At 40.4% G+C, this 21846-nt stretch overlaps 1 protein-coding gene and 1 long non-coding RNA gene across 7 annotated transcripts, besides 4 other annotated features; one reads left to right on the top strand and one right to left on the bottom strand.

The window, feature by feature from the left end:
* Positions 1-324: 324 nt before the first annotated feature.
* LOC112268467 (uncharacterized) lies at positions 325-2201 on the bottom strand. Its single transcript, XR_002959797.2, has 2 exons — positions 2118-2201; positions 325-434 (listed from the first exon to the last, which is right to left on the bottom strand). It is a non-coding gene; the product is annotated as an uncharacterized LOC112268467 (long non-coding RNA).
* Positions 2080-2596: an enhancer, noted in NCBI's record as "H3K27ac hESC enhancer chr4:73935268-73935784 (GRCh37/hg19 assembly coordinates)". NCBI's record gives its function as "activates a minimal SCP1, AML or CMV promoter by ChIP-STARR-seq in naive and primed H9 embryonic stem cells {active_cell/tissue: H9 hESC(naive and primed)}" and the evidence as "EXISTENCE:reporter gene assay evidence [ECO:0000049][PMID:30033119]".
* Positions 2080-2662: a biological region, named in NCBI's record as "H3K27ac hESC enhancer GRCh37_chr4:73935268-73935784".
* Positions 2143-2662: an enhancer, noted in NCBI's record as "active region_21609". NCBI's record gives its function as "activates an Ori minimal core promoter by ATAC-STARR-seq in GM12878 lymphoblastoid cells {active_cell/tissue: GM12878}" and the evidence as "EXISTENCE:reporter gene assay evidence [ECO:0000049][PMID:35858748]".
* Positions 2388-19785, top strand: COX18 (cytochrome c oxidase assembly factor COX18). Of its 6 annotated transcripts, none has more exons than NM_173827.4 (6): positions 2431-2830; positions 4018-4118; positions 6734-6897; positions 7248-7369; positions 10227-10334; positions 13860-19785. In NM_173827.4, exons 1-6 carry the CDS (start codon positions 2498-2500, stop codon positions 14031-14033), a joined length of 1002 nt encoding a protein of 333 aa, NP_776188.1. In that variant the 5' UTR covers positions 2431-2497; the 3' UTR covers positions 14034-19785. The 6 variants fall into 6 exon arrangements, with proteins under 6 accessions (NP_001287658.1, NP_776188.1, XP_016863534.1 ...); XM_017008045.3 differs by having other exon boundaries at positions 10227-10338; NM_001297732.2 differs by having other exon boundaries at positions 7245-7369.
* Positions 2597-3112: an enhancer, noted in NCBI's record as "H3K27ac hESC enhancer chr4:73934752-73935267 (GRCh37/hg19 assembly coordinates)". NCBI's record gives its function as "activates a minimal SCP1, AML or CMV promoter by ChIP-STARR-seq in naive and primed H9 embryonic stem cells {active_cell/tissue: H9 hESC(naive and primed)}" and the evidence as "EXISTENCE:reporter gene assay evidence [ECO:0000049][PMID:30033119]".
* Positions 19786-21846: the final 2061 nt, after the last annotated feature.

Genomic DNA, 21846 nt, shown 5'->3' with positions numbered 1-21846 from the left:
AAAGCACAGGGATTTACAGGTGTAAACCACCATGCCCAGCCTTGTTTCTTCCTATGAGGGCACTTACCCAATTCAAGAGCTCTACCCTTAAGACGAATTACCTCCAAATACCATCACCTTGGGGTTTCAAAAAAGAATCTGGGGAGGACAAAAATATTCAGTCCATAGCAAGCTCCATTCCTGTGTTTGGCACCATGATGGTTAAGAATTACAGAGACTGCAGAAAGAAAATGTAATACGTAGTCTCTTCTTAAGGAATTTAAAGTTGAGAAATTAACTGACATAACACTAATATCAAAGACTGGAATAAGCTAATTATAAATGTTGAACCTTTAAAAATGTTTTAATACATTGCACAAGTTCATTTGCAAAGAGGATTGACAAATGATTTCAGTTGGTCCACTCAATAGTTGTAGATCATTTTGTACTGTACTCTGAAACAAAAGATACAAAATAATCACAATGTTGTATAAACAGTACCTATACATTAGTAGTAACACTTTTCTTTTGCATTGGGCTTTAAAATTGACAACTACTTCCCCCAACATCCTCTACCAAGTAGATAGCAAGTTCTAGTCATCCCTGTTATATAGATTAAGAAATGTGTTTATACACATATATGAAATTAGCAGAAACTAAATATTCATAAATTTTATTTAGATCAATATTCAAACTTAAGGAAATACTTTTTAAAATAAGAATGTAATATATGAACACAATGTATAGCAAAAAATGTGTTCCAACACTGAAATCTCATTTGTGACCCCGATAGAACTCCACAAAATTAAATCTTAGGAATTGAAGAACAGCTTACAGCTTTTTTTTTTTCTTTTCTTGCTTTTTTTTTTTTTTTTTAAAGAGATGGGAATCTTGTTGCTACCCAGGCTGGAGTGCACTGGCTCGATCATTGCTCGCTGCAGCCTTGGACTCCGGGGGGCTCAAGCAATTCTCCCGCCTTAGCCTCCTGGTAGCTGAGACCACAGATGCAAGCCACCACATCTGGATGATTTTTGTATTTGTTGTAGAGATGAGGTCTTGCCATGTTGCCAAGGCTGATCTCTAACTTCTGCCCTTAAGGTATCCTCCCATCTTGGCCTCCCAAAGTGCTGGGATTACAGGCGTGATCCACTGTGTCTAGCAAAAATAACTTTAAAATTCTGTTCAGATTATGAACAGCTGAACAGTAGTCAGTAGCAACTGATGGCTTTTTTGTTAGCTTAATAAATGGATAAAGAAATAGATTGGTAGGTTTTTCTTTTAGAAAAAGTTTATATATAGTGTGTGTTGTGCTGTGTGTTTAAACACATTTAAAAATTCATGTATAGATTTATCAGTCAGTTTGGAAAGCAGATGAATTCCAGAATCCTGAGAAAGTTATCGTAGGGTACCCTTGGTTAGGTGCACAGTGAAGGGCAAACAATAGCTGGCGTTTGACATTACCCAACATTGTTGGAGGCTTCTTTTCCTAAGTAAGTAAATAAATAAATAAATAAAAATCAAGGTTTACTCCTCACAACATATTTTAGTCTGTAGTCTAGGGGTGACCCTTCGGTGAGGAAACTCCTCCACAACATTCCATTTTGTTGTTTCCAGGAACACAAAAGTTAAAACTATATAGTCCATGTAGATTCAACGTATTCCTTTAAACCAGAAGACAGCCAGTGCTGCTGTTCAGGCTCTTTAAAGCTTATATAGGATACAAGTAAACTCAAGGAATTCACCGTACTGCCAGTGATAGTTTCCCTTAAATAAAGAGATGATACTTTTACTATAAGATTTTTGCTGCTATTTATCATGGAAGACAAAACACCGAAGAAATTCAGTTTGCAGTTGGTGGTCCAAATACTAACTGGAACAGATGGGCCAATTAAATCTACAAGAGACTGAACTATCCCTCGTGCTTAACACTCAGAGTCAGCAAGAAACATGCGTCTCTCTACAAGCAGGTACTTTAGCAACGTGTGACTCTTGAGTATGATAATCTATCGTAATCGCTAACGGAAGCAATCAGGTGCACGTAAAGAGGTTGGGGATCAGCTTCTGGTCACAAAAAACCGAGCAAGGATAATTCCACTACAAATGACTATTAGCTTTAGTGAAAAAGAATGGTAAGTTACACGGTGTAGATGAACTTTACAAGGCGAGAGCTCCCTAAAGAACACCCAGCCTGGCGGAGGGCAGCAGGCTCCACCCATGTCTCTGCAGTTTTGGTCCGGCCTCGGACTAACTACACCCTAGCAGCGGGAAACTTTCGCGTGTGCGCAGTAGGCCTGTCCAGTGCCGCGTGGGAAAGGCGGGACTTTCCTATCTCTTGCGTCACATCCACTGCGACGCAAGACGTCACCGGCTTGACTGGGAAGGTCAATCGCGGCTGCAGGCAGGCGCGCATGCGCTTTATGCCCGCTGTTGCTGGCGCGTGCGCGTATCAGCCTTGGCTGGCCGGTGTATGTCCGCTGGATTGTGAGGCCCGGGATCTGGGCTCCGCCGTGGTGCAGAAATGCTGTGCCGGCTCGGCGGTCGGTGGCTGCGGCCGCTCCCTGCCCTGCAGCTTTGGGCTAGGGACCTGCCGCTTGCGCCGGTTCCTACGAGCGGCGCCAAGCGCCCCACTCTCCCAGTGTGGGCAGTGGCACCAGTCTCTGCAGTACATGCGAACGGCTGGTACGAGGCCCTGGCCGCGTCTTCGCCGGTGCGGGTTGCGGAGGAAGTACTGCTCGGCGTGCACGCCGCCACGGGCCTGCCCTGGTGGGGCAGCATTCTGCTCTCCACCGTGGCCTTACGGGGTGCTGTCACGCTGCCTTTGGCAGCCTACCAGCACTACATCCTGGCCAAGGTGAGGGGCGCCGAGCCGTGCGCGTACCCTGCGCTGCAACCCCTGCGGCGGAGGAAGGCCGACATTCACTCAGGGTTTTCGATCGCACGATGTTGCCTTCTGCAGTGCTTAGTGTTTAATCATCGTGACCATTTCATTGTGACCATTTTAGCGTTAAAAAAAATTGAACTAGCATTAGGTGTGTTAAATAAGATACTTTGTGACACGTGTACCTGTCATTTCTTTTGTCTTACTGGATTTGTGCTCCAAGCACAAGTGGTTACTATACTTGCTCTCGGGGAACGGAGACAAAGAAATCAGTCGCAGAAGAAATTGTGTTGGCGAAACCTACAAAATTTATGTCTTAAAAGTTTTAATAGCCAGTATGTCTGCAGTGTCTTTCGTCCCAAAGTATTCCAGCTGGTCTTTCTTATTAGGAAGAAACTACTAGACTAACAGTTTGCGAACTTGTTTCCTCTCCAGACCCGACTAAGACTGTGTCTGGTTGGTCGCAGTTACTTGACCTTTTAATGCTGAATCCTTTTTTCTGAGGAATCAGGCTAGCAGTACCTTCCTTGCCTACTTCACAGCGTTATCAGAGCAAGTCAGATAATACGGGTTAAAGTGCTTGATTATTCAAATGGGATATTTCAAAAATAGTGGCTTTCTTGTTTTCAGGTTGTGAGCATGGGGAAAAAAAACCGGAAACAAAACAGGAACGGAATCAGCAGCAACATTAAGGCAGTGAGCCATTTTACAGGAAGAATGAGCACAGGGCAGGAATAAATGCTATTTTTACTTTTGATTTGTGGCTATCACAGTGTATTAAAGGTTCTTAACAAACTGCTGTTTTCTCCGCTTACGTTACTAGGAAATGTAGAGATGGAACAGTAAAGCCCAGGGTGCAGTTCTTATCTAATATTTGTAACCCTGTGAAGTAGGTGCTGTTATATATTTTATATGTGAGGGAACATGATTTTAGAGGTTAAGTTACTTGCACAGGATCACATGGATAAGTATGCATTGTGAATTTGGTTGTGACTGAGGACATTTTAAGCAAATTAACATCTTGTGCTTAGAATTAAGATTTCTTGATATGATCAGTAAACTACATTTTTAAATGACTCGAGGGAATAATGTGAAAGATTATGAGTCATTATGAATAAAGATCCTTTATGTGCTCATAACAAAACCTATTTTTTAGCTAGGTGGAAAATTTGCAGCCAGAAATAAAAACTATTGCCAGGCATCTTAACCAAGAAGTTGCAGTTCGTGCAAATCAGTTGGGGTGGTCCAAAAGAGATGCCAGGTAAGCTAATTATATCCACGTAAGACCATACGCACACATACACACACACACACACACACACACACACACACACATACATAAATTGTGATGTTAATTATAAGTTTGAGTATTCTGTAGTTTTGGCAGTAAAGTATTTCTTTTTTTATATATATATATATATATATTTTTTTTTTTTTTTTTTTTTTTTGAGACGGAGTTTTGCTCTTGGTGCCCAGTCTGGAGTGCAATGGTGTGATCTCGGCTCATCACAACCTCTGCCTCCCAGGTTCAAGCGATTCTCCTCCCTCAGCCTCCCAGGTAGCTGGGATTAACAGGTAGGCACCACCATGCCTGGCTAATTTTGTATTTTTAGTAGAGATGGGGTTTCTCCATGTTGGTCAGGCTGGTCTGGAATCCTGACCTCAGGTGATCCACCCTCCTCGGCCTCCCAAAGTGCTGGGATTACAGGCGTGAGCCACCGTGCCCAGCCTACTCTTTTATATTTTCATAAGTTATTAATATGGCATGATAGTTTCATATGCTGGACTGAAAGCAAAGAAATAAATAGATAAAGATAAGAAGAGTATGTTCCTATTCTTTAGGGATTCCAGCCTATTGAAAAAGACAGACCTGTAATCAAATAATGATGTCAGTGAACTAACTGTTATATAAAGATGATGTACAAGGAGCTAGATCATCAAGGAAGGTCAGGGCAGGGTTCACAGGATGAAGGCACTTTGCCATTCTTTTGTGATATTGGTCAACAAATGACACAGGTTATTTACAATCTTGACCTTTTGGAAAAGATACAGCAGGTAATAGCCTACAGGAAAGAGGAGGTAGAAAACAAGTGCCACAGTAGAAACACTTTGATAGCTAAGATGCTGTCTATCCTTTGTGGTTATTCTGTGCAGTTGTCTGCCTGGGTTCTTGGAAAGTCCCAATCTAAGGGTGCTTGATTGCGCCCAAGGATGTCTGCATTCATTCACTGGGAACTTACAAGCCCTCTTGCTTCAATCAACTCCTCAATCAGTTTCCCAAACTCTAATCCTTACTAGACTGCGAAAAATTATTCTCCTTTTTACAGCAATGGAAAAAGGCCTTTGTGGTATCAATCTGTGTTATGTGTATATTATTAACCATATATTTTTATATAGTTGTACATTTCCCAACTATCTTTAATACGAGATTGTGTCCTATATTTAGTGTTAAAAAGATCTGACATTTTAAAAAATCGTGGTGATAGCTTAATGTCTTTATTTGGTAAAAATTAAAAGTTGACCTATAGGTTTGAAATTTTACTTATCAAAGAAGTCGAAAGCTTCAGCCATAGGCCAAAAGAACCAGATTAATAGCTGCTTGCCTGGGTTATCAACGCAGCCTAGATAAGACTTGTGGCACCTTGCTTAAGCAGTACTGGCAGGATGGTTGTGCAGATACAGCCTTACAGATGTTTCTTTCTAGGAGGAAACATCTGAGGGCTTCTGGCATTTTCTTTTCTTTTCTTTTCTTTTTTGTTTTTTTGAACAAGACAGAATCTCCCTGTGTTGTGCAGGCTGATCTCAAACTCCTGGCCTCAAGCAATCCTCCCACTTTGGCCTCCCAAGTAGCTGGAATTACAAGTGCAAGCCACAGTGTTGGCCAGCTTCCTGCATTTTCAATAGTATTGAGTCTTGAAGGGTAAAAGACGGTGTGTCAGATGGACAGCCAGGAAAGTGGGCTTTCCACACAGATGATATAATACAGTACTTCCAAAGGCATGCCTATGCGGAAGTCTGATTTGTTGGATGAACTAAAGTCATTCAGACCAGAATATGCAGGTGTCTAGAGGAGTAACGAGATAAAATTGGAAGAATAGGCAAATGTGAAATTATGGAGGACCTAGAATGTCTTTGTGTACTGTCTTATTATACACTATAATTTGACTAAATTCAGAAAAACTATTGAATGCCTCCTCTGTACAAAATATATGATACAGGAGATTTAAAGATGAATAAAATAGAACACTGTCCCCTAAACTAAGAATACTTTAGTTTTTGTTTTTTAACTCCTATTCTCTTGGACCTGAAGGAAGACTGTATTCTAAAAAGTAAAATTTCAGGAAAAAACAGTAGTAACTAATATGGTTAACAGAGAAACAGATTAAAAATATCTTTGTGAGATAGTTGATTGAAAAATGGAGACTATTTTGACAGGCCAAGAGCATACACAGTATAAAACCACATAGCTCCAAAAGGTATATTCAGGGATGAAGTGGTTAAGTTTGGCGGGAGTGGAGAGATTTGATTAAAGTTTGCTTTTAGCTTCCATATTTCCAATATTAATTGTAGTTATACCATGTCAGTAGTGAAATTTACCTTTAAAGCCTAATCAGCCAAAGACCACCAGAGACAAAGCCTGTAGTCTGACAATTTCAGATTGTTATGTAACTTGTGTACCATACTGTAGAAGTTTTGATAAAAGGCTTTATTTGCCTGTTGTTTAGGCAACTCCTTAACATGCCTGTGACAGCTGAAACCCTTATACAAATCCTTTAGCTAATAACTACAGCAGGCGCTATTTGTGCTATGGAAATAAAGCACGATTCTTAGATGACATTTTCTCTTTCCCCTTTTTTCCCCCTAACCTCAATCTAGGCTCACTTATCTAAAGAATATGAGGAGGCTAATTTCAGAGCTATATGTGCGAGATAACTGCCACCCTTTCAAAGCCACTGTGTTGGTTTGGATTCAGCTTCCAATGTGGATCTTCATGTCTTTTGCTCTCCGGAATTTAAGCACGGGGGCAGCACATTCAGAAGGTAATTATTGTATGTCTTCTCCCAAAGAAGTTCTCTAACATTGTCTTTGTACTAAAAAAAAAAAAAAAAAAAAAAAAGCATACTTTTCATAATTACGATATGTTTACTATCTTCCTTATAAGGGTATAGAATTTAAAGTCTTAAGTGTAAACAGATTGGTTGTGTTGTGAACATTTTGTATTGAGAAAAAATATATATATTGTGCGTGAAAAACTGGAATAAATCCAGTGCAGATCTTTCCTGTGAGGGACACCTTATTGGAATTGTCAGACTACTTATTTATGTCTTATATATTTTTCTCTGCTATTTTTAGGACTTCTATTGTTTTATTTATAAAACTGTTTTAGCAGGTTTTTCTGTTCAGGAACAGTTAGCTACTGGTGGAATTCTGTGGTTTCCTGACCTCACTGCACCCGACTCCACTTGGATTCTGCCTATCTCTGTTGGCGTCATCAATTTGTTAATAGTGGAGGTCAGTAGTTTTAAATGAAATTTGTTTGCCATTTATGGGGATTTTTGTTGCTGCTGTTTTGACTTCAAATCTGTTTTTGTTTGAGTTGGTGAAGATAGCTCTGAGTTAGAAGTGAGATCCCTTGGTTCCTGGTTCCACGTCAGGCATTGGCTTAGGCCTGTCCCTTAACCTCTCTGGGCCTCAGAACTCTCGAAATTAAAGTAAAAGCACTAGTATACTTCCAAGTCTCTTTCAGCTTCAAAATTATATGATTCTGATACATAGAATTTTGTGACTTGCTTTTGGCAAAAACAGTAATAAAGATGCCCAGTCAATCTGGTTGTATTCTTAAAATAGAGTGATGTTCCGTGTGTGTGTTTAATATGTGAATTTGTAGGCGGAGAACACAAGTCAGGCCCTGACTGCTATTTTCTTGCTTTATGACCTTAGAAAAGTCATTGAATGTCTTTATAAGATGAAATGGGAAAAACATACACATAGAAAATGTGACCTCTCAGTCATGTCTTTTTTTTTCTTTTTTTTTTGAGATGGAGTTTTGCTCTTGTTGCCCAGGCCGGAGTGTAATGGCGCAGTCTTGGCTCACTGCAACCTCTGCCTCCTGAGTAGCTGGGATTATAGGCGCACACCACCACACCCGGCTAATTTTTGTATTTTTAGTAGAGACAGGGTTTCACCATGTTTGCCAGGCTGGTCTCGAACTCCTGACCTCAGGTGATCCACCCGCCTTGGCCTTCCAAAGTGCTGGGATTACAGGCATGAGCCACTGTGCCCAGCCCTCTCAGTCATGTCTTAACCCTTATCACAGGCTGCTTTACTCAGCAGTTTAGGGAAAGCGTGCATATAATTTCATAAATTGTTCTCAGACTCTGAGTAGAACAGACTGGACTGGAAGAAATCTTAAAAATGATTTACCTCAGTAGAGATCTCCCAGACCTCATGACCTCTGATGCCTGTTTGTGAAATCTAATATACCCCTTATTCTTTCAGATGAGGAAAATGGAGATGATAGAATATAAGGTCTTAAGTGAAAGTTTCTTGAGGAAAGACTCTACCTGTAGTCCAAATATGTTTCCCTAAGAGCACTAGCACAGTCCCCTGTGGTTGGTGTTCAGTGAATATTTGGTAGAAAGAAGGAAGTGATAAGCACAAGGTTACAGTGAATCAATGTCAATCCCCTAGTCTTTTCCTCTATGTCATCTAAAGACTAATAAAGGTGTTTTCATAGCGGGGCATGGTGGCGTGCGCCTCTAGTTCCAGCTACTTGGAAGCTGAGTCAGGAGGATTGTTTGAGCCCAAGAGATGGAGGCTGCAGTGAGTTGTGATCCCACCACTGTACTCTAGCCTGGGCGACAGAGAGAAAGACCTCACCTCTAAAAGAAAAATAAAAGCTTATTAAAAGCTTATTCTTACTCAACATACACTATGTGCAAGGCATTGTGTTTTTTGTTTGTTTGTTTGTTTGTTTTTTTCTTGAGACAGAGTCTCACTCTGTTTCCTAGGCTGGAGTGCAGTGGTGTGATCTCCACTCACTGCAACCTCCACCTCCCAGGTTCAGGTGATTCTCTTGTCTCAGCCTCTCGAGTAGCTGGGATTACAGGCGCCCGCCAACACACCCAGCTAATTTTTTGTATTTTTAGTAGAGACTGGGTTTTACCATGTTGGCCAGGCTGGTCTGGAACTCCTGACCTCAAATGATCCGCCCGCCTCAGCCTCCCAAAGTGCTGGAATTACAGGTGTGAGCCACTGTGCCTGGCCATAGGCATTGTTATAAGCAATTTACATAAATCAACTCATTTACTTCTTGGAATAACCCTGTGAGCTAAATATTATCCTTTTTTAATGCAGAGAAAGTGAGGCATAAAAATGTAAAACTACGTAGTTTGGCTCTAGAGTCATAATTATGGAGAAGTCTTTTTTTTTTTTTCCTTCTTTTCTTTTTTTTGGAGACGGTCTTACTCTGTCACCCAGGCTGGAGTGCAGTGGCGTGATCTCAGCTCACTGCAACCTGTGCCTTCCAGGCTTAAGCGATCCTCCCACCTCAGCCTCCCTCCTGAATAGCTGGGACTGCAGACATGCCACCACGCCCAGCTAATTTTTGTATTTTCTGTAGAGATGGTTTCGCTATGTTGCCTAATTGCCTAGGCTGGTCTCAAACTCCTGAGCTCAAACAATCGGCCTGCCTGGGCCTCCCAGTTCTGGGATTACAGGCCCCCAGCCTTACGCAGAATTCTTAAGTGGAGCTTGAAGAATCCTGTGACAGTAGCTACCATATAAATCATTGTTAAGTGGAGCTTGAAGAATCCTGTGACAATAGCTACCATATAAATCATTGCCCTTGTTTTTTGGTACAAAGTGTCAAAAAACCTCCGTTTAAGAATTTGACATAATTAGTGTTTTTTTTTTGTTGTCGTTTTTTTTAAGAGACAGGATCTTGCTGTATTGCCCAGGCTGGAGTGCAGTGGCATGATTATAGCTCACTGTAGCCTCAAACTTCTGGACTAGAGTGATCCTTCCACCTAGGCCAGTTAAGATTTTTAAAAGATGGATGATCAAGCTGAGTGCAGTGGTTGGTGCATGCCTATTATCCCAGCTACTTGGGAGGAGGAGGCGGGAGGATCACTTGAGCCCAGGAGTTTGAGACCAGCCCTTAAACTGGTCTCAGTTTGATAGCAAGACAGGTCTCAAAAAATAAAAAGATGATCAGCCATATAAATTAATCAGTGTTTTGTGTGTATATATATAACTTTTATTAAAGTGTAGATGGAGGCCAGTGAAAAATCAGTTTATATTTTAAAGCTTGTCTGATTTAATATGCGTTTTAATAATCATTATGCATGTATATGTTCTACCCCTTCAGATTTGTGCTCTACAAAAAATTGGAATGTCTCGTTTTCAGACGTATATTACGTACTTTGTCCGTGCAATGTCGGTGTTGATGATACCAATTGCTGCAACGGTACCCTCAGTGAGTAAGCACCAATATTGTGTGTAGCATGTGCTAAATCCTCTCTGACTTTAGCTTAGACTGGCTGGGATCCTGCCTCTTCTTTTTTTTTTTTTTTTTTTTTTTGAGACGGAGTCTCGCTCTGTCACCCAGGCTGGAGTGCAGTGGCGCGATCTCGGCTCACTGCAAGCTCCGCCTCCTGGGTTCACGCCATTCTCCGGCCTCAGCGTCCTGAGTAGCTGGGACTACAGGCGCCTGCCACCACGCCTGGCTAATTTTTTGTATTTTTGGTAGAGACGGGGTTTCACCATATTAACCAGGATGGTCTCGATCTCCTGACCTTGTGATCCTCCCGCCTCGGCCTCCGAAAGTGCTGGGATTACAGGCGTGAGCCACCGCACCTGGCTGGGATCCTGCTTCTTCTGCTGAACTTCCTCTGACTACTTGATCCCTTACCAAATCAGTGTTTCTGTGGTAACTAATCTGTCTCTATTTCTTGCCTTTTTTTAAATTTTGCAACGTGTTTTGCATAATACCATGAATATGGTATTTCTTCCATTTGACTACTTGGTATATTGAATTAGTTCTGCCTATGTAGACTGGAGCAAAGAATTTAGCACTTAAAAAGAAACAAAACAAAATGCTAAGACCATTTGGGTTTGTGTATGGTATTATTTAATCTCATAACAACTCTATGAAATAGGTAAACTTGTCCCTGTATATACCTAATTAATCTTTATAGAAATAGAAAAAGAAATGGTTATGTTTGCAGTTAGTTCAGTCTTTTGCATGTTTCCCACAAATACTTTAGAAGTTTCTAAGGAGGCAAAAGCTGTGTTAGGTATATCTCCATGTTTACTCAGAGCTAACACATAAAGTCGAATTCAGTTGTTATTAATAGTTAGGGTGTAGCATATATAAAACTACCTCACAGTATTTTTTTTTTTTTTTTTTGAGATGGAGTCTTGCTCTGTCGCCCAGGCTGGAGTGCAGTGGCGCAATCTCAGCTCACTGCAACCTCCTCCTCCTGGGTTCAAGTGGTTCTCCTCCCTCAGCCTCCCTAGTACCTGGGATTACAGGCACACGCCACCACACTTGGCTAATTTTTGTATTTTTAGTAGAGGTGGGGTTTCGTCATGTTGGCCAGGCTGGTCTTGAACTCCTGACCCAGGTGATCCACCCGCCTCGGCCTCCCAAAGTGCTGGGATTACAGGTGTGAGCCACCATGCCTGGCCCACAATATTTTTTATAGGAATCTAAAACAGTATGTTTTTGCTATCAAAATCTATTTTTTAGGCTGTTACTGAACATAATACTGTCATTAATCCTATGCAGAATAAGTTTGTTCATCTCTAAAATAGATATCATAATGCCTGTGAGAATTAATGAAATGAGTGCCTATTAGAGAACTTTTTACATAAAGTAGTAGTGTTGTAAAATACCCTGTAAAAGTAGAACGGCACAGATTCACTACATTTCCACAGAGCAATCATACCAGCTATATACTGAAGAACGCCTCAGATAAAATAAAATACGAGCAGTTAAGTTTTAATGAGGGATTGAGTTCAAAATGAGTAACAAGAGATCTAAAACACAATGCCTTAAATACCCAAAATTTATCCTGTCAATTATAGGAAATCTGATTAAGCAGCTTAGGGATGATGAGACAAGTCCATGAAGATGAGAGACCCAGACTGCTGCTCTCTTTCTGCTTTGTTATCCACAGCCTGTGATTTCAAGGCTACACTACGGTCATGGCTGTTAGAGCTTGTTATCATGCAGGAATAGAAAAGGGTGCCTCAAGTGCAGTCAGCCCCTTTTAAGGAGACTTGCCAGATGTTCCACCAAACAGTTGTGTTAACATCTTAGTTTTATGACCACCCCTCACTGCAGAAGAGGCAAGGAAATATAGTCTTTTTTTTTTTTAGATGACAGCCTACTCAAATAAAAATTAAGATTTTGTTACTAAGGAAGAGGGGAGATTGATACTTAGCTGGCAACTTATAGACTGCTGTAGTTGGCCGCAGGTTCTTTTTCTTTTGGTGGATAAATCAGATAATGATGATAGCCAATATTTATTTAACACTGACTTTGTGCTAAGCACTGTTTTAAATGGTTTACATATTTTACCCCATGTAATTGTCCCAACAGCGCGACGATAAAGGTACTATTATAATCTTCACTTTGGTGATGAGGAAACTGAGGCACAGAGAAGTTAAGTAACTCATCCAAGGTCACTTAGCTATAAGTGATAGAGTCTTAACACACATCTAAGCAGTTTGGCTCCTCCTCTTAACTACTGTGCTAATCTACCTTTGAGGATGTGCTGCTTTCTGCCCCTAAAGACTGACTTTGGAACAAATAACAAATGTAAGTGCTGAATGTGGACCACATACTTGCATACCACTCTACATGAATTATCTCATTTATTCCTCACAGCAATCCTCTGAGGTAGATGCAGTTACTGTCCCCACTTTACAGATGAGGAAACTGGAACAGAAGGAAAATAACTTACTCAAAGTCAAATAGATGGCAAGTAGGATTCAAATTCAGGCAGTTTGCCTCCAGGACCTAGACTTAACAACTGCATGATTTTGTTTCTGGGGCCTGATTACCTTCTGATGCTAAAGAAAAGTTTGGAACAGGTGTAAGTATAGGAGTATTTCAGGAGGTTGTAGAACTTCGTATTGACCTAAATAAATGGTCACCCGGGGCCACAGACCAGTACTGGTCCATAGCCGATTAGGAGCCGGCTGACAGCAGGAGGTGAGTGGTGGGCAAGTGAGCCTTACCACCTGAGCTCCACCTCCTGTCAGATTAGCAGCATTAGATTCTCATAGCACGAACCCTATTGTGAACTGCACAGGTGAGGGATCTAGGGTGTACACTCCTTATGAGGATCTCATTCCTCATGATACGAGGAATGGAACAGTTTCATCCCAAAATCTTCCTCCTGTCCATGGAAAAATTGGCCCCTAGTGTCAAAAATGTTGGGGACCACTGCTCAAGATGGTAATACAAAAGAAATTTGGAGATAATGCTGAGGCTGTTTGTCTCAGAAGAAGGCAAAGAAAATGCATTCCTTACTACACTGAGAAACTGGCTGTTGGGAAACATTTGGAAGATAGATGACTGTATGGGGAAAATTAGGTGTAGGGAGGCTAAGTTTGCCATCATAAGTGCCACACTTCCAGCATTCTACCTTCAGTATGTAAGCAGTTGGACAGGACTTTTGGTGGGGAAAAAGTTATGTTCCATTGTCGAAGAAGGGAGATAAGATCTCTCTTGAGCCTCTGCCTAGGAGCTTCTCTCTTTTTACTTTCTACCCTAAATACTTCTCTTTTTCCTTTATTTTTGCTTTTTGGTCTGTCTGTAACCTTTTTTCCCTGTCTATTAAATCTATCCCAGGAATCTAGTAGCTGCTGCAAGTCTTGCTTAGTCTTGGCATACTTGTATTTACAAAGATTGTCATTTTATTTTTTATTGTCTGGACTGTGATGTCCTTGTAGAATTACAGATGCTAACATTTATGTCTTCTCTTTATAGTCAATTGTTCTCTACTGGTTATGCTCCAGCTTCGTGGGCCTTTCACAGAATTTGCTGCTGCGTTCTCCTGGATTTCGCCAACTTTGCCGAATACCATCGACCAAGTCAGATTCAGAAACTCCTTATAAAGACATATTTGCTGCCTTTAATACCAAGTTCATTTCAAGAAAATGACATATTTTCCAATAATTTTGAAACAGTTGCAGGAGTCACTATCATCTAAATGTATTTAGACTTAGAAATTCAGATGTTACTTGATTTCCTTTTATTTAAAATCATTAACTTCATGAAATATTGTAGGTTAAGATGTAATCCAGACCAGGCACAGTGGCTCATGCCTGTAATCCCAGCACTTTGGGAGGTCGAGGTGGGTGGATCACCTGAGGTCTGGAGTTTGAGACCAGCCTGGCCAACATGGTGAAACCCTGTCTGTACTAAAATAACAAAAAAATTAGCTGGGCTTAGTGGCAGGTGCCTGTAATCCCAGCTACTTGGGAGGCTGAGGCAGGAGAATCGCTTGAACCTGGAATACAGAGGTTTCAGTGAGCTGAGATCACCCCATTGCACTCCAGCCTGGACAACAAGAGTGAAACGCTATCAAAGAAAAAAAAAAGATGTAATCCAGATATATTTGACAGTAATTAAAATCTTTTAAATGTTATAAATGCAGTATGTTTGTGAAAGTATTAGAATAGAACCAAAGTGCCTGTCTCTGTTTATAAAGTTACAGTTTGTTAGAGCTACCAGAACTTTGGAGAATAGGGTTAGCTACTGAATGATGGCAAGTTAAACTAAACAATACTGCATATTACTGTTTTGTAAAATAAGAGGATCAGTGAGATGATTCATGTTTTTTTTTTTTGAGATGGAGTCTCACTGTGTCACCCAGGCTGGAGTGCAGTGGCGCAATCTCAGCTCACTGCAACCTCCATCTCCCGGATTCCAGTGATTTTCCTGCCTCAGCCTCCAAGTATCTGGGATTGCAGGTGCACACCACCACGCCCAGCTAATTTTTGTATTTTTAGTAGAGATGGGGTTTCACCATGTTGGACAGGCTGGTCTGGAACTGCTGACCTCAACTAATCCACCCTCCTTGGCCTCCCATAGTGCTGGGATTACAGGCATGAGCCACCTCACCCAGCATTTTTTTTTTTTAATTTTTTTAATGAGACAGAGTCTCTCTCTGTCACCTAGGCTGGAGTGCAGTGGCACGATCTCGGCTCACTGCAACCTCTGCCTCCCGTGTTCAAGCAATTCTCCTACCTCAGCCTACTGGGTAGCTGGGACTACAGGGGTGCACCACCATGCCCAGCTAAGTTTTGTATTTTTAGTAGAGATGGGATTTCACCATGTTGGCTAGGCTGGTCTTGAACTCCTGGCCTCAAGTGATCTGCCCACCTTGGCCTCCCAAAGTGCTGGGATTACAGGCGTGAGCCACTGTGCCCAGCTGAGATGTTTCTTATTATTTTGGAGGTGGAGAGGATTTTAGACCTCTTTGAGCATCTGAAAAAAGGCTATATATGTATGGTTTTCTCTTCAGAAAAATCTTAAGACTCACAATACGGGGACTTCCTTGTTACCAGGAAGATTTTCTGGCAATTCCTAGTTAATAAATCTTATTCTAATGGAACATACATTGATCTTGAGTTAATGCGTGGTTGAAAAAAAAAGCGGGGGCAACTTGAAATATATGCAGTAAAGTAGTCCATGCATACAAGTCCCTAACATGGTAGATGATGTTGCCTCCCGGCCCTGCTCAGAAAGAATACAAAAAGTGTACATTCCTTTTTCTATAATTTAAGAAGTCTGGAATACAGAGTGTAACACTGTGTACTGCTAGCACCCAAAGTGGAAAATCTTAAGCATTCAGATTGTTTAGTCAAAGAAGAAAACCAGAAGGGCAGTTGCCTATTGAGGTGATTTTAAACCTGTTTATTTGTAAGGATTAAGTACCCTAATAGGCTTAAACTATGATAGAGGTTTAATACAGAAAAAATTGACAGGTATTATAAATTGTGGATCCAGTTACTTGCTTATTTAATTTGTAAAGAGGTAAAATTAGCTCTGGTTGAGATATCAAGTATGGCAGGTATTTGAGAAGGCTATAAATCATAATTTTCATTTAGTTAAAATATGGACCTGATTCTGGGAAACCCTATCATTCCATCTCAATGTTTTACAATAAAATAAAAACTAAAGTGAAATTCATTAGTCATTTCTTTGATTGATGTCTCTTAAATTTTAGTTCACCTGCTTAATGAAGTTATGACATTTTTTAATAGAAAAAATGTACAGCATACAGAGGTAAGAATTCTGCTTCCCTGAGAATTTATTTTAGACATAGATGGTGGCAATTAAGACTAGGTTCTTTTTTCATACAAGTTCCTAGTCCTGGTTTCTGACTGTCCTATTGGGGCAATTGTGCTTTCCAACCACATTGAAGGAATTGAAATATCCTCATTATTTGTGGATTTTATATTTGTAAATTTGCCTCCTTGCTCAAATCTATCCATAACCCCAGAACCAGTACTTGCACAAGTGCTTTTGAGCCATTTGTAGGCAAAAATGTGAGTCACCTCCCAACAGAAGTGAAACAAATGGTACTCTGCCTTCTAGTTTCAGCTCTCATACCGTAAACATGTATCCTTTTTGAGTCTACTTAGTCCCATCTCTTCCTAATTTCTGTTCTTTTTGTTGGTGATTTTACTGTTTAAAATGGCCTCCAAATGCCCTGCTGGAGTGCTTTCTGATGTTCCTAAGCTCAGGAAGGCTTAGGAGAAAATAAGTATATTAGATAAGCTTCATTCATGCACAAGTTATAATGCTGTTGGCAGAGAGTTCAGTGTTACTGAATCAACAATATGTTGCATTGTTCTGTTGACAAAAACAAAGCTTGCAGAAACCTAACCCTGTATGTTTTCTAGGAGCAGTGATTTGGTATTCACTACTTCAGTGTTTGTGGACTTTATGGAACATAAGTACCACAAATAATGCAAATTGACTATATTTGCAGCGTGTACAATCAAGGATGCAGAGGCAGAAATGTGTGTGCAGCTTAGGTCATAGTAAAAAGAGGAAAGAATTTGAGGAAAATTTTGCCAGTTACATATTACCTCTGGAATAACTTTGCCTTTGCCGTGTGTGTTACTGTGTACACTCAGATATTTTTCTCATAATGGCCTTTGCCGTGTGTGTTACTGAGTGAGTACACTCAGATATTTTTCTCATAATGGCATGAGGGAAATCAGTCTCCTTTTCCCATTGTGTTTGTCACTTTTGCTGAGACGCAAAAAATAACGTGCTATGATATTGTGAAATATGTATTTGGTCTTTATCCCCAATCCCTGACATCCAGCGGAATCTGCAGAGTTAAGTGTCTTTTGTATGCTCATGTGATGACTGGTGGCTGGGGGCCCCTAGAAAGTTTCAGGATAGGGCAGATCCTTGTGGCCAGGAGTTCCAGATCAGCCTGGGCAACATAGTGAGACCTTGTCTGTACAAAAAAGAAAGTAGGAAAAAACATCTTTGGTTTTTCCTATCTCCAGATACTTCCTTTTCAAATAAATGAATCTTCTTTCATGTGCATAATTTACCTTGTTTACTGTGAGTCCCCTTGATTTCAAAATGTATATTTGTATCTTTACAAATGTATATTGTGCTTAGTTTCCTGTTGCTCTCCCATTGTCAAACTTTCAAACTTGAAATTTCTTTTCAAATATATACAGGAAGTTTGAGAATACAAGGCCCTTCCTCCAAGATCTCAAAATAATTTCTCACAAGTGGGGGTTGCTGGGATCTTGGGATAAACCCATGTATAAAGAAAACTGGTGTATTATGAACTGAAGTGAATCAGTTACCTGAACTTACCTGACTTCAGGATGGTAAATACTCTTGATTTTTTTCTTCAGGCAGATTTTTTTTAGTAAAGAGCAAAAAATCTGTATTGTATTTCAGAAAATTGCAAGTCTGTGGTCTTATTTCTAACAGTTTGTCATAGCCTGGAGCAGTTCCAGAACCTGAATGAAGTCAGGGCTACAGAACAGGGAATATGCATGCTCTTAAGACCCCTTGATGTCTTGCTGTCTGGCTTGCCTATATCCCCTCAGTTGCTGAGGCTCTGCGCTGGGCCCTGCAGAGTTCAGGAAGGTTTTTGTCTCCTTAGATGAGGACTGTAATGTTTGTGTTACCCTTCCCCACAGGGGTGTTACCCACCCTTCTCGTCCTTACAGGAGATCTGTTTTTCCTGTGGGTCTCATTTTTGTCTCTAGGCCAGATTCACTGTCTTAATGAATGCTTCTCATTTCAAGAGTCAGGAAGGGAGACTCACTCCTGGATCAATTTATAGTATTTATACCATTAGGATACCTGAGTTCAAAAGTATATTAATAGATAGAATTGGCGTATCTGAAATGATCCCAAATTACTTTTCCCTGGGACCGTTAGAAGAGAAAACTGAACAAATCCCATCCTAGTCAGATGTCCTAAGTGGGAAGATGAGGCTTACAAAGGAAAACCAAAATTCTTAATTGCCACCCTGACAGATAACCCAGGAGAAGGTGCAAAGCCTCATTAAGAACCTCGAGGGAAAAGCCAAACTTGGGGAGAAGACTTTTCAGGTACCTTTAACAGCACTTAAGAGCTAAAGACCATATCTTCATCTAAGAACCACCCATTTACCCGTCCAAACCGAAAGAACAGACTTGGAGACCTGAAGAACAGTGGAAGCAAGACTTTTAATGGCAGTCTTGCAAGATTGGGTGTCTGGTGGGCAGGCACACCTGGGGCAGTTACAGCAGGTAATTTATCTCCTAGCACACAAGTCCTTCCCCCAGTTTCTGATTGGTTAAGTACTATGGGATTACAGTCTTCCCAGACATCGCGTAAGTTTCATTATCCCCCTTGTAAGGTTATATACCCCATTCCCTTCCCCCCTTAAGTTTTGATTTCCCAATAACGAAACTTTCTTCCCTTTTATGGGCTGACTCCTCCTCTACATTCTGTTCGTTTATTGTGACCTTCTAGGTGCATGAGCAGTGCGGTTTGTTACATACCAAGGCTGGCTGCCAGTGCTTAGATTTATCATGCCTTGAAAATGGACCATTTAAAATGTTTTCCCACAGTTCACATCTCAGAGGAGGTACAGAGGTCCTCCTAGATGACATTGGGAAAATTGTAGTTAGTGTGAAAAAATGAGTGCCCAAAAAAACCTTGGTACCTTCTGTGTTTTGTTCCTATTTTTTTTTTATTGGACGCATAATCTGCTTATATTTTGCACCTATTCTTAAATCACACTTATACCTTCATATTTTATTCTTCTAAGAATCCCAGGAATCACCTTTTTTTTTTTTTTAGGAGTCACCTTTAAAATTGCCTATATGTCAGATTTAAGTCCCAGAAGCAGTAGGAATGCAGACCCTAGAAAAAAAATTAAAGAATGTAGTTTATTTTTTCCTCTGGGGTGTTAACTGCAGCTACTACAGAATGCAGACTTTGGAATTTCAGGCATAACATCTGAAACCATGCAAGAATTTAGATTTCTGTATTAAAGCTAAATCTTCATGTAAATATGGTGTAAAACAATGCATTATCATTATAAACACTGTGCCTTACGAGCTGGTTCAAGCAGAACCCAGATAATTGGAAATTATATGAATTTATAGATTTTCCATTTGAACCTTATTAGTGTTGTTTAAACTTGTAATAATGGATATTTTCTAGTTATCTGTTTTCTTTTTTTCATACACTGTGATGGTATTTTATGAAATCATTTGGTTTTGGGAAGTTGGAATTTCCTAAAGCCACAGCATTAAAGTCAGATAATTTTATTTACCCAAAAGTTTCTGGAACGCTGTGGTTCTGTACTGTGTATACAACTAAAATAAGAATATAAATTTATATAAAAATAAAAATACAACTATATAAGTAAGAATTTGATCTATGTACAGTTTAAGCAAAGCCCTGAAGACCCTGAATTTACGTGTATTCTTCTGCTAGTGATATGGAATATGAAGATTCAATATCTCCTTGATAACTCTTAAGAAAGTAAAAAGCGAATCGTTGAACCCAGGAGGTGGAGGTCGCAGTGAGCCGAGATCACGCCACTGCACTCCAGCCTGGGTGACAGAATGAGACTCTCTAAAAAAATATAATAATAATTAAAAACTACTAGTGTGATGCAGCTAATGCTAAGTGGGAGAATCCCTTAGATGGGTAAACCTTGATGGTACGGTTTGAATGTCTTTTTCAAAACTCATGTTGGAACTTGATCTCCAGTGTGGCAGTATTGAGAGGCATGGGGCCATTACATGGTGATTGGATCATGAGGGCTCTCTTCTCATAAATGGATCAATTGGCTTATGGATTAATGGGTTATAATGGGAGCAGAGCTGGTGTCTTTACAAGGAGAGGAAGAGAGACCTGAGCTAGCACTTAAGCATGCACATCCCCCTCACCATGTGGTACCAGGCACTGCCTCAGGGCTCTTCAGAGTCCCCACTAGCAAGAAGGCTCTCACTAGTTGTACCCCCTTGATCTTGGGCTTCTCAGCCTCCATAGCTATAAGAAATAAATTCATTTCCTTTATAAATTATCCAGTTTCAGATATTCTGTTAAAAGCAACAGAAAACACTTAGTATAACGAAACAAGATTAAGTTGATCTGAGAACCTTATAAAATTTAAAAGTTCATAGCTTAGAAAAAGCAAGTAATCCCAGCACTTTGGGAGGCCGAGGCGGGCGGATCACGAGGTCAGGAGATCGAGACCACGGTGAAACCCCGTCTCTACTAAAAATACAAAAAATTAGCCGGGCGCAGTGGCGGGCGCCTGTAGTCCCAGCTTACTCGGGAGGCTGAGGCAGGAGAATGGCTTGAACCCGGAAGGCGGAGCTTGCAGTGAGCGGAGATCGCGCCACAGCACTCCCGCCTGGGCGACAGAACGAGACTCCGTCTCAAAAAAAAAAAAAAAAAAAAAAAAAAAAAGAAAAAGCAAGATAAATTTAAAAAGCTTGCTCTTTGAAAAGCTTTGCTAAAGGATTTAGCAAATTTTAAGAACAATTACTGAGTATATGACAGTATATTTTAATCTTAATAGAAATTAAATCATAGGTGAAAAATTAATCAGCAAGAGAGCATGCGTGTGAATCCTGTTTATAATTATGTATTCAACATTCTAGATGGATCACATAGTTTCAAAATAAAATTGTACATAATTTTGAAGACAGCCATTTGGTTTTTTGTTTGTTGGTTTGTTTTTGAGTGGCGCAATCTTGGCTCACTGCACCCTCTGCCTCCCAGGTTCAAGCGATTCTCCTGCCTCAGCCTCCTGTGTAGCTGAGACCACAGGCATGCACCACCATGCCCAGCTAATTTTTGTATTTTTAGTAGAGACGGGGTTCCGCCATTTGGCCAGGCTGGTCTCAAACTCCTGACCTCAAGTGATCTGCCCACGTTGGCCCCCCCCAAAGTGCTGGGATTACAGGCGTTAGCCACCGCACTGGGCCTATTTGAGTGCTTTTTATCATCTCAAAATAGAGTAGACCCTCCTCTCTCCACACCTGAAAGCCATAATGTTGTAAGAGCTTCTAAATGACAGCTGCTAGGATGCCAACGAATAAAGCAAACTGAAACTGAACTAAACTGTTCATCAGGTAAGGACTAACAGCCACAGAGAGGGAGCTATTGGGTGACTCGTGAACAACCAATAGCTGAACCAACCACTGAAAACCATTAGTGGAATACAATCCAAAAGCAAAAGGAATTATTAGAAATTTTGAACTTTATGTAGTAATTATATTGCTGTTAATAATGCATTTTTAAAAAACTTTTAGTAAATAATTATGTTTAGTAGGTATATTAGTTTGCGCTGCTTATTACCACCAAGAGAAAGATATTGAAGAAATCTATTGGAGATATTTTACATCTTTTTGAAAATTTTCTTTTAAGATTGTGGAAATTAGGATCAACCCAAAGCCAAAATTTTGATAAACTA

The sequence above is a fragment of the Homo sapiens genome, chromosome 4 (genome assembly GCF_000001405.40).
Source record: "Homo sapiens chromosome 4, GRCh38.p14 Primary Assembly".
NCBI lineage: Eukaryota > Metazoa > Chordata > Mammalia > Primates > Hominidae > Homo > Homo sapiens.
This window is presented reverse-complemented; position numbering and strand designations above follow the sequence as displayed.

Bases quoted from the DNA above. Each gene is read 5' to 3' on its own strand.
- COX18 (NM_001300729.1), top strand. From the start codon at position 2,388: ATGCGCTTTATGCCCGCTGTTGCTGGCGCGTGCGCGTATCAGCCTTGG. The intron at 2,831-6,733 runs GTGAGGGGCGCC...ACCTCAATCTAG, and splicing joins AGCACTACATCCTGGCCAAG to GCTCACTTATCTAAAGAATA. The intron at 7,370-10,226 runs GTCAGTAGTTTT...CTACCCCTTCAG, and splicing joins TCAATTTGTTAATAGTGGAG to ATTTGTGCTCTACAAAAAAT.